Source organism: Homo sapiens, chromosome 10, assembly GCF_000001405.40.
Source record: "Homo sapiens chromosome 10, GRCh38.p14 Primary Assembly".
Classification (NCBI taxonomy): Eukaryota; Metazoa; Chordata; class Mammalia; order Primates; family Hominidae; genus Homo; species Homo sapiens.
Genome location: NC_000010.11, coordinates 122380889 through 122393149, shown reverse-complemented (window position 1 = coordinate 122393149; position 12261 = coordinate 122380889). Strand labels below are relative to the sequence as shown.

At 37.2% G+C, this 12261-nt stretch overlaps 1 protein-coding gene across 68 annotated transcripts in view; it reads right to left on the bottom strand.

Moving 5' to 3' along the window:
• Positions 1 to 12261, bottom strand: part of PLEKHA1 (pleckstrin homology domain containing A1) — a 67893-nt gene that overhangs the window by 49451 nt on the left and 6181 nt on the right. For 32 of the 68 annotated variants that reach the window (NR_165161.1, NR_165162.1, NR_165164.1 and 29 more), the window contains one exon: positions 778 to 847. The exons of 16 other annotated variants lie outside the window; for them this stretch is intronic. The gene's annotated coding sequence lies outside the window, so the exon portion shown is untranslated. Of the gene's footprint in view, positions 1 to 777; positions 848 to 3765; positions 4183 to 5166; positions 6899 to 6962; positions 7082 to 12261 lie in introns of those variants that run through there. 20 more of the 68 variants (XM_024448114.2, XM_024448109.2, XM_047425609.1 and 17 more) reach the window with 6 other exon arrangements.

The following is a 12261-nucleotide window of genomic DNA, read 5'->3' as shown; positions in this document are numbered from 1 at the left end:
CTATGAAACAGGAAAGTATTTCTCATGGACTGCAAATCTGTTCAATGAGGGGGCAACTTGCCAACATTAGGTAAGGTCAATTAAAATGAACACACACCAACATCTGAGGCATTGACAAAAATCACTTTTGAAATTCAGTTTGTGAAGAGTGGTTACTAAATGTAACTATTTATTCACTGTGATGGGGACAACAGAGAGCTACTCACCTCAGCTGAATAATTTACTTACTTTTTCCCTAAAAAAACCCCAGGTGAGCCAAAAAAAATAGTTATCCAAATTTTAATTTCCTCACAAATCAAGATAATCTATCCTTTAGATTATTTTAGAATATTTTTAAATTCACAAAACAACAAAAGTTAAAATTTAGTGACCACTTGCTACATGCTAGGCTCTGTACAAGGTTCTTTTCCATATGTTAACTCTTTTAATCTTCTAAACAATCCTAGGAGTAGGCATAATCATCCCCAGCAGATAAGGAACTTAATACACAGGGGAAGTGATTTTCCAAAATTCCAAAACTAGTAGGCCAAGAGTCAAAGCCTGAATCCAGATTACCGCACTCTAGATCTCCTATCTTATGCTCTACACCATCCTCTCTAAAAAACCCTTGAATTGTTAAAACTAAAGTGAATCAAAATAAACTAGTTAATGTACTGGAAAGAGAGATAAGCAGGTATGATGTGCCTCCTGATGGAAGACACAAACATCACCTATCATGTGAACATAAAGCAACAAGAAAAAATGTTTTTTAGATCCCCTCTATATCCAAATACCAACCTACAGGAGATGCAGAACACAGAGGAACATGCTAAACTGCACCAAAGGAATTCAATCAGCAAGAGCCAGACTATAAGAAACAAAGGAAAAAAAAAAGTTTCTTTAGCAAGTAAATTATTACAAGAAAAAAAAGAAAAAGAGAGACATTATAGATTAAAATAGACTTAAAAGGTGTATCATATTCTGGTCCTAAAGTACTGCAACTTTTATTGTACTGATTAAAGTTAAAAAACCATTAGGTGCCAAGAACTGTTTCTCTAGAGACTACAGACATGTGATTCCTTCTTGATGTGATGCTTAGCCCAAATCTGCACCAGACAGCTGTTACTATTCTGGTACTTCTATAGCTGGCACCATCACATCTTTTGGCAGGATGAATTTACATAACTATTTATTTAGAGGCTCAAGGTAAATTTAACTTACAGTGAAAATTCAATTACAATGCACACTGATATACTATGTATCTGCATCACTATTCCATATGCAGTCAGAGAAATGATAAAATACACCAAAAAGTTTTAAATAAAACCATCCAATAAGTTTGTGTGTTGTTGCTGTTATTGTTCTTATAAATCTGATACTTTAAAGGAAATAATTTCTTTAATAAATTTACCATGTTTGTAAAAAAAAAAAAGTTTACAATGTAATCAAAGCTTGAAAAATCAATACTCTATACTACCATATACCACAGGTAAAAGCTATCAACTTGCCATGAGAATAGACATAGATCAGTGGAAAAGAATTAAGAGCACAGAAATAAACCTATACATCTATAGTCAACTGATTTCAACCTATACATCTATAGTCAACTGATTTCAACAAGGGTGCTAATACCATTCAATGTGGGGGAAAAAAGCCTCTTCAACAACTGGTGCTGGTACAACTGGATATCCACATAGAATGAAGCTGGACCCCCTACCTCACACCATTTATAAAAATTAACTCAAAATGGATTAACAATTTAAGAGCTAAAACCAGAAAACTTTCAGAAGAAAATATAGGGTAAATCTTACTTTGGAATTGGCAATGAATTCTTAGATATAATACCAAAAGCATGAGCAACAACAAAAATTATATTGGACTTCATCAAATTTTAAAACTTTTTTTGCATCAAACAACTTCAAGAAAGTCAAAAGAAAATCTATAGAAGGAAAGAAAATATTTGCAAACTATATATCTGACAAGGATCTAGTATCCAGAATACATAAGTAACTTTCAGAACTCAAAAACTTTAGTCCAAGTTTAAAATGGGCAAATGACTTGAAGAGACATTTATCCAAAGAAGATAAACAAATGGTCAACGAGAACTTTGATACTCAATATCATCAGTCATTAGGGAAATCCAAATAAAAACCACAATGAGATAAAACTTCACCCCCACTAGGATGGCTATAATTAAAAGAGAGGAAAATAACAAGTGTTGGCAAGGACATGGAGAAACTGGAACCCTCCTACGTTGCTGGTGGGAATGTAAAATGGTACAACAGCTGTGTAAAACAATTTGGCAGCTCTTCAAGAGTTAAACATAGAATTACCATATGATCCAGCCATTCTACTCCTAGGTACACACACACCTCGTTTTACTGTGCTTCATTTTATTGCACTTCACAGATATTGGAGTTTTTACAAATTGAAGGTTTGTGGCAACCCTGCAGCCTCAAACTACTGGGCTCAAGAAATCCTCCTGTCTCAGCCTCCCAAATAGGTGGGAGAACTACATGCATGTACCACCATGCCCAGCTAACTTTTTTATTTTTTGTAAAGACAGGATCTCACTATGCTGCCCAGGCTAGTCTTGAGCTCCTGGCCTCAAGCAATCCTCTTGCCTCGGCCTCTCAAAGTGCTGGGATTACAGGCATGAGCCACCATGCCCAGCCAAGTGTCTCGCTTTAAACCAAAAGCCAGAAATGTCTAAGCTTAGTAAGTGAAGCATGTCAAAAGCTGAGACAGACCAAAAATGAGGTTTCTTGCACCAAACAGCCAAGTTATGAATGCAAAGGTAAAGTTCCTGAAGGAAATTAAAAGTGCTACTTCAGTGAACACAAGAATGGTAAGTGAAACAGCTTTATTGCTGATATGAAGAAAGCTTTACTGGTCTCGACAGAACATCAAATTAGCTACAGTATTCCCCTTAAGTCAAAGCCTAACCTAAAGAAAGGCTTTCTTCAGTTATTTGAAGGCTGAGAGAGGTGAGAAGCTACAGGAAGAAAGCTGGAAGCCAGCAGAGGTTGTTGGTTCATGACTTTTAAAGAAAGAAGCCATCTCTATAACATAAAAGTGCAAGGTGAAGCAGCAAGTGCTGATATAGAAGCTTCCACAAGTTATCCAGGAAGATCTAGCTGACATCAAGGAGGTGGGTACAGTAAAGAGATTTTGAATGTATGTGAAAGTCTTCTATTGGAAGATGCCATCTAGGACTTTCACAGTTCTAGAGAAGTCAATGCCTGATTCAAAGCTTCAAAGGACAAGCTGACTCTTGTTAGGGGCTAATGTAGCTGCTGACTTTAAGTTGAAGTCACTGCTCACTTACCATTCCGAAAAAAATCCTAGAGCCCTCAAGAATTATGCAAAGTCTACTCTGCCTGTACTCTAAAAATGGAATAACAAAATCTGGATGACAGCACACCTGTTTACAGCATGTTTTACTGAAAAAAAAATTTTTTTTTTGAGATGGAGTCTTGCTGTCACCCAGGCTAGAGTGGTGGCGCAATCTTGGCTCACTGCAACCTCCACCTCCCAGGTTCAAGCAATTCTCCTGCCTCAGCCTGCCTCAGCCTCCCAAGTAACTGGGATTACAGGCACATGCCATCATGCCTGACTAATTTTTGTATTTTTAGTAGAAACAGGGTTTCACCACATTGGCCGGGCTGCTCTCAAACTCCTGACCTCAGGTGATCCGCTTGCCTTGGCCTCCCAAAGTGTTGGAATTACAGGTGTTAGCCACCACGCCCAGCCACTGAATATTTTAAGCCCACTATTGAGACTTACTCCTCAGAAGATTCCTTTCCAAATATCACTGCTCACTGACAATGCACGTGGTCACCCAAGAGCTCTGATGAAAATGTGCAAGGTGATTATGTTGTTTCCACACCTGTTAACACAACATCCATTCTGCAGCTCATGCATCAAAGAGTAATTTCAACTTTCAAGAAACACATTTTGTGATATTGAAATATATATTTGTGATTTGAAATATAGCTGCCATAGACAGTGATTCCTCTGATAGATCTGGGCAAAGTAAATTGAAAATTTTCTGGAGAGGATTCATCATTCTAGATGCTGTTCAGAACATTCATGATTCACAAGAGGAGGTCCAAATATCAACATTAACAAGGTTTTGAAAGAAGTTGATTCCAACTCTCGTGGATGACTTGGGAGGGTTCAAGACTTCAGTGGAGGAAGTAACTACAAATATGGCAGAAACAGCAAAAGGACTAGAATTAGAAGGGCCTGAAAATGTGACTAAATTACTATAATCTCATGCTAAAACTTGAACAGATGAGAAGTTGCTTCTATGGATGAGCAAACAAAAGTGGTTTCTTGAAATGCCACAGCCACCCCTACCTTCAGCAACCACTATCCTAATCAGTCAGCAGCCACCAACATTGAGTTAAAACTCTCCACTAGCAAAAAATTACAACTCATTTGAAGAGGCTGAGATGACTGTTAGCATTTTTAAGCAATAAAATATTTTTAAATTATAGTATATACATTTTTTACATATAATGCTATAGCATACTTAATAGGTTACAGTATAGTGTAAACATAGTTTTTATATGTACTGGGAAACCAAAAAATTAGTGTGATTCATTCTATTGCAACATTTATCTTATTGCCATGGACTGAAACTGAACCCACGTATCTCTGAGATTCAGATATTCAGAATTGAACACAGGTAGTCAAATAAACCCTTGTATATGAAATGTTCATAGCAGCACTACTCACAAATAGCCAAAAGGTGGAAACAACCCCAACAAATGAATGAAATGTGGTATATGCATACAATGGAATATTTTTCAGACATAAAAAGGAATGAAGTACTGATACATGCTACTACCTAGATAAACCTCAGAAACATGCTAAATGAAAAAAGCCACCAACAAAAAGGTACATGTTGTATGATTCTATTTATATGAAAGATCCTAAATAGATAAATCCAGAGCAACAAGGAATAGATTGGTGGTTGCCAGAGGCTGAAGAGAGTGGGAAATGCAGAAGAGCTGCTTAACAGGTGATGAAAATGTTTTGACAGTAGATATAGGTGATAGTTGCACAACACTGACACTGTGAAAGTATGAAATGTCATTGGGTTGTACGCACTAAAATGGGTAATCTCATGCTAATTTCACCTCGACTAAAAAAATAAAAGGATGCTGTAACGTTACTTACCAGGCAGTTTCTACAATGACTGGCCCCATACATTTATCTTACTTCTTAGTTTGAAAGAGTAGAGCAAATAAATTATCTACTTGAAAAAACTCAATGTCTTAGAATGCTCACTCTAGAAGTCAGCTGTCATGTAGGAAATCTGACTGCCTTCAGACTGCCCCGTTGTGTGAAAGCCAACTAGTCCCATGAAGAAGCTGTGCGGAGAGAGGTGACCAGCCCACACCCAGCTGTCCCAGTCATTCTAGCAGAGTGAGTGAAGAGGCTATCTTGACCATCCAGCCCAGTCAAGCCTTCAGATGACTCTCATTCCAGCTGCCATCTGACTGCAACTACAAGAGAGAGACCCCCAAGATGGAGCTGCCCAAATGAGCTCCTTCAACCCAGAGAACAGTGAAAAATAATGAACTGTTCTTTTATGCTACAGAAAAGCCCTCAGGTATATACCATATAAATACAATATACAGAGCATTCAAGGAATTTTATAAACAAATATATGTCAGAATTTTCATTGGTTTTTAGTGCTATAGATGAAATTATCACCTGAATAGCTATTTGAAAATTAAAATACACTTTTAAATAAAATATGGGTAAAAGAAGAAATCAAAAGGGAAATCAGAAAACATTCTTAACTAAATGAAAAATTTTAAAAGTCAAAATTTGTAGTATGCAGCTAAAGGTGATTTTGAAAGAAAATTTATAGTCTTAAGATATTTTTATTAGAAAAGGTCTAATATGAATGGCATAAACTCCACCCTAAAAAGCTAGAAAAAGGTAAAGTAAACCCAAAATAGAAAGGGAATAATAAATATCAGAAAAGAAACTAATAAAATTGAAAACAAACAATACAAATTAAAACCAAAAGCTGTTTCTTGAAAAGATCAAATTGATAAATCTATAGCTATGTGAACCAAGTGAAAGAGAGAAAGCAAATCACCAATATTAGGAAGTACACACTACACACCCTATAGACATTAAGTGGGTAATAAGAATTCATGCAAACAAATTTGACAATTTAGAAGTAAACAAATTCTTTGAAAAAACACAACTTTGAAAAAACTGACACAAGACAAAAAAGAAAATCTGAAGTACCTATTTCTACTAAAGCAAATGAATTCACTACTAAAACCCCAAAAAGAAAAGTCAAAGCCTAGAAATAGTTCATATGTGAATTCTACCAATCCCTTAAGGAAAAAAATAACACCGGTCTTTTAAAAATTCTTCTAGTAAACAGGAAGAGAGAACAGTTAATTTTCAACCAAGGTGCCAAGGCAATTTTGTAGAGAAAGGACAGTCTTTTCAACAAACAAGACTGGAATAATCGACTGTCTATGAGGAAAAAAACTAACTCAAATGGATCACTGACTCAATGTAAAATGTCAAAGCTTCCAGAACAAAATATAGGACAAAGTCTTCAGGACCTTAGGGGTAGACAAATATTTCTTAGATAAGACACAAAAAGCCTGAACCATATAATAGTTGATATATCTGAAACGTAATCAAACTTTAAAATTGCTCTTCAAAAGACACCATAAAGAAATGAAAAGACAAGCCATAAAAATGAAGAAAATATTCAATATATATGTATCCAGACAGCAAATGATACCCTAGAACAGGCAGGTAATTATTACAATTCAATAATAAGACAACCAAATACGAAAATGGTAAAAAAAAAAAACTTGGAACACACAAGCTGACTAAGAACATATAAAAATAGTAAATAAGCACACGAATAGATGCCTACTATAATTAGTCAGGAAAGTGAATGCAAATAAAAACCACAAGATACTATAACATACCTACTAAAATGTCTAAAACAAACAAAAAAAACCCTGACAACACTAAATGCTGTCAAAGATGTGAAATAAACGAACTATCATATATTGCTGGTGGAAATGCAAAATGACATAGCAACTTTGGAAAACAGTTTGGCAGTTTTTACAGTTAAACAGATCCTTAGCGAACAACCCGGCAATCCCACTCCTAGGTATTTATCCAAATGAATTGAAGGCTTATGTTCACACCAAATATTGGATACAAATGTTTATAGCAGTATTAGTCATAACTGGCAAAAAAACACGAACAACCCAAATGTCCTTCAACTGGTGTACGAATAAACAAAATGTGGTGCATCCAATACAATAAAATATTACTTGGCAAAATAAAGGAACAAACTATTGATACATGCGCAACTAATAAATGTCAAATGTATTTTGGTATGTGAAAGAAGCCAGACCAAAAAGGATATGGGACATAGAACAAATCAGTAGAGATGGAATACTGCTCTACCGTAAAAAGGAACTACTGACAGATGCAACAACATGAATAAATCTCAAAATCGTAATATTAAGTACAAAAAAGGCCAGAAATAGGCTGGGCACAGTGGCTCACGCCTATAATCCCAACACTTTGGGAGGCCAAAGCAGGCAGATCACCTGAGGTTGGGAGTTCAAGACCAGCCTGACCAACACGGAGAAGCCCCGTCTCTACTAAAAATTCAAAATTAGCCGGGCATGGTGGTGCATGCTCTAATCCCAGCTACTCAGGAGGCTGAGGCAGGAGAATTGCTTGAACCCGGGAGGCGGAGGTTGCAGTGGGCCTAGATCACGCCACTGCACTCCAGCCTGAGCAGCAAGAGCGAAACTCCGCCTCAAAAAAAAAAAAAAAAAAAAAAAGCCAGACACAAAAGGATACAGCCTTTGATAATAATTCTGCTTCCTAACATTTCAACTAGTGGTTTTAGTGTTATTTATTTATAGAAATAATTATATTTCTATAAAATTCTGAAAACTGCAAACCAATCTATAGGGATGGAATGCAGATCAGTAGTTGCTTGGAGCTGAGGGTGAAGGGAAGGACTGTAAGTGGCATGAGGATACTTCTCAGAGTTATGGAAATGTTCTGTATCTTAATGTGCTGCAGACATGGTCAAAACTCATCAAATTATACATTTTAAACAGATAGAGTTTATTGAATGTAACTTCAAAAGGTTAAAAATCCAGTACCAATTTAAAAAAAAATTCTTTTTTTGAGGTAGAGTCTCACTCTGTTGCCCAGACTGCAGTGCAGTCGCGTGATACTCGGCTCACTGCAACCTCCACCTCACAGGCTCAAGCAATTCTCATGCCTCAGCCTCCTGAGTAGCTAAGATTACAGGCACTGAGCCACTACCACCCGGCTAATTTCTGTATTTTCAGTAGAGACAGGGTTTCACCATGTTTGGCCAGGCTGGTCTCAAAGTCCTGACCACAAATGATCCACCTGCATTGGCCTCCCAAAGTGCTGGGATTACAGGTGTGAGCCACCACACCTGGAGCAGTAACAATTTTAAAAACTCATTTATAAATGACTACAAGTCATTTTTTTTTTTTTTTTTTTGAGACAGAGTCTCGCTCTGTCACCCAGGCTGGAGTGCAGTGGCACGATCTCGGCGCACTGCAGGCTCTGCCCCCTGGGGTTCACACCATTCTCCTGCCTCAGCCTCCCGAGCAGCTGGGACTACAGGCGCCCACCACCTCACCCGGCTAATTTTTTGTATTTTTAGTAGAGACGGGGTTTCACCGTGTTAGCCAGGATGGTCTCAATCTCCTGACCACGTGATCCGCCCATCTCGGCCTCCCAAAGTGCTGGGATTACAGGCGTGAGCCACCGCGCCCAGCCAAATAAAGTTTTTTAAAAGCTTTCCATGGCAAAAACCTGATAAGCAAAGTCAAAGCCAGTAGAAAATATTTGCAACTTATATCATAAACAAAGGGCTAATCTCCCTAGCATTTAAAGAGCTTGCAAAAAATGTTAAGGGAAATATATCAAACGTTCAATAGAAAAATGAGTAAAAGACATGAACATTGTACCAAGAGAGATATAAAAATGGCCTTTAAATATATGATGAGATATTCAGTATCACTCATAACAGGACAAATACAAAAAAACCATACCGAGATGTAGCCATTGCCAATGACATCCCAAGAACAGAACAACACGAGAGACTACCACAGGGATTCAAATATCAAAATCTATACAGTAAGAAATGGCTCAGGAAAGATAACTGGTTTCTTTAAAATTAAATTCAAAAGCAGGAGAAGAAAAGGAACTAGAGGAGAAACCTATGAATTAAAAAAGACTTTAGATATCTGGACCAATCACGACATGTGGATTTTATTTAAATCCTGTTTCTTTAAAAATAAAAACAAAAACAAACAAAAAAACACTGACATACTTAAAATCGGAAATTTGAATATTGTCTGATGATATTAAGAAAACAGACACATTATTTTTGGTGTGATAACGGCATTGTGATTGTTACCAAAAAAAGGAGGAGTCCTTTTCATTTAGAGATATTTACTGATATAAAATAAATGTTATTTATCTGGGGCCAGGCATGATGGCTCACAATTGTAATCCCAGCACTTTGGGAGGCTGAGGCAGGAGGATTGTGTGAGCTCAGCAATTCAAGCCTACAAAATGACAAGACATTATCTCTGCCAAAAAAAAAAAAAAAAATTAGCCAGGCATGGTGGTGTGTGCCTGTAGTCCCAGCTACTTGGGAAGCTGAGGTGGGATAATCGCTTCAGCCCAGGAGATTGAGTCTGCAGTAAGCTATGATTGTGCCACTGTACTCCAGCCTGGGCAATAGAGCAAGACCCATTCTAAAAAAAAAAAAGAAAAAAAAAAAACAGAAAGAAAGAAAAGAAAAAAGCAAGAAAGAAAAGAAAAAAATGTTATCTGGGATTTGTTTCAAAATAATTTTTAGAGAAGGGAATAAACGGAGGCACTGGTGGCAGGGTTGGTAGTTGCTGGGGCTAAATGATGGTGTTCATGGGATTGGTTACACTATTCTATTTTTGTGGATGTTCACAAATCTCCATAATAGAAAAGTTTTTTAAATCTATACTATACAGATATACCATTTCTCATCTATTAGACTGGCAAAAATTCAAAAGTTTGACAACACACTATACTGATGAGGCTGTAAGAAAACAGAAACTCTTACATTGCTGGCAAGAAGGCAAAATGGTAAAACCCTACTGGGTGAATCTGGTACTATTTAACAAAATCATATATGCTTTTATCCTATGATCCAGCATTCCTACTTGGTACTGTAATGTGAAACATTTTAGGTATAACAAGACTTCCAGACCATTATAATGTACATTATTGGATAATGTAAATATGTTGATATGATTATATTTAAAATAAAAGAAAACATTTATTTGTTATTAGGAACCAAGACTTTCACAGTGAGAGAAAAGAGGTACAAACAAAAAACAAAAGAACAAACTGTGTACAATACATCTGAATTAGAAATAATATGAACTACATCATTTCTGAAGATATGACAGTAATAGAAAATCACCACTTTGTAATCCCAATGTCTCACTGATTTACACAAGCATCTTCAATGAACACTAAAACCACTAGATGAAATGCTGTTAGGAAACAGAATATTCATAGTCTCAAAATATCACCCCACAGTTTTGTTACTAATTGCAAACAGGAAATGTATCTTTACATTGGAGAGATCTTATAGCCCCCACCTTTACCAAGTAACTTGGTATCTATTGAATCTAGAAGCTAGGTACTAATGGATACCACTTCTCTCTAAACAAACCAAGTATAGTATGATTCCACTGACATGAAATATGCAGAATGGGCAAATCTATAAAGCTAGAAGGTAGATTACTAGTTGCCTAGGTACAGGGGAAATGAGTTGTTGTCTAAGGATAGGAGGGTACAGGGTTTCTTTGGGGATGATACTAATATTCTAAAATTGATTGTGGTGTTGTCCACGTAACTGTGAATGCACTAAATCATACATTTTAAATAAGTGATTTATATAGTGTGAATTATCTCAATAAAGCTTTTTCTAAAAAAAGAAACGATTACAATTGTCTTTCATTCTAGAGTACATAAGAAACCCTAAGGAATATTTCATCTCCCAGACCTCTATTGTTGGAGTATCCCAGAGGGTGGTCTGTGGATCTCTTTCCTATATATACTCAGTGTCTTGGTGAGGTTACTCATTCTCACAGGCCTAAATATTGATGACTTCCAGACTGTTATCTCCAGCCTTGAACACTGTTGACCTCCAGACCCATGTATACAACTGCCTATTCTACGGTTCCACTTATCTAACAAGCTATCTCAAACTTAACAAACTGAGCTCCAGATATTCCCCTCAGAATCCTGATCCAGCCTTCCCTAGCTCAGTAAAGGGCCACTCCCTTCTTCCAGTTGTTCAGGAAAAGTATCTTGAAGTCATACTTAAGTTTTTCTCACCCTGTGGTAGTCCGTTCTTGCATTGCTATAAAGAACTACCTGAGGCTGGGTAATTTACAAAGAAAAGAGGTTTAATTAGCTCACAGTTCCACAGTCTGTACAGGAGGCATGACTGGGGACGCCTCAAGAAACTTACAATCATGGTGGAAGGCAAAGAGGGAGGAGTTACCTCTTACATCGCAGGAGCAGGAGGAAGAAAGAGAGAAGAGAGAGGTACACACTTTTAAACAACCAGATCTCAGGAGAACTCACTCACTATCATGAGAACAGAAAGTAGGGATGTCTGTCCCATGAACCAACCGCCTCCCAACAGGCGCCTCCTCCAACACTGGGGATTACAATTCGACATGAGATTTGGGTGGGGACACAAATCCAAACCATATCCTACCCCATGTCCAATCCATCAGCAAATCCTGTTATCTCCATCTTCAAATTATAACCAGAATCCTACTTCTCACCACTTGCTACCTCTCTGGTCCAAGTGACCATGACCTCCCACCTGGATTATTGCCAAGGGCCTCTCCTGGATCTGGCCCTTACCCCACTTCAATCTATTCTCAACATGGCAGTCAAAGTGATCCCATTAAAACATTTATTCAAGTGTTCACTCAATAAACACGTACACATATTACTACTCACAAAGCACTTTTCTAAATACCTAAATATTAGTTTATTTAATCCTTATAACAATTTTACAGATGAGAAAACTAATAAGGCACTTGCTCAAGGTCACATGCTTGGGAGTGGCAGTGCCAGGAGTCAAACTGGAGGAGTCTGGCTCTAGAGTCACACTCCTCAATACTATGTAATACCTCACTCTGC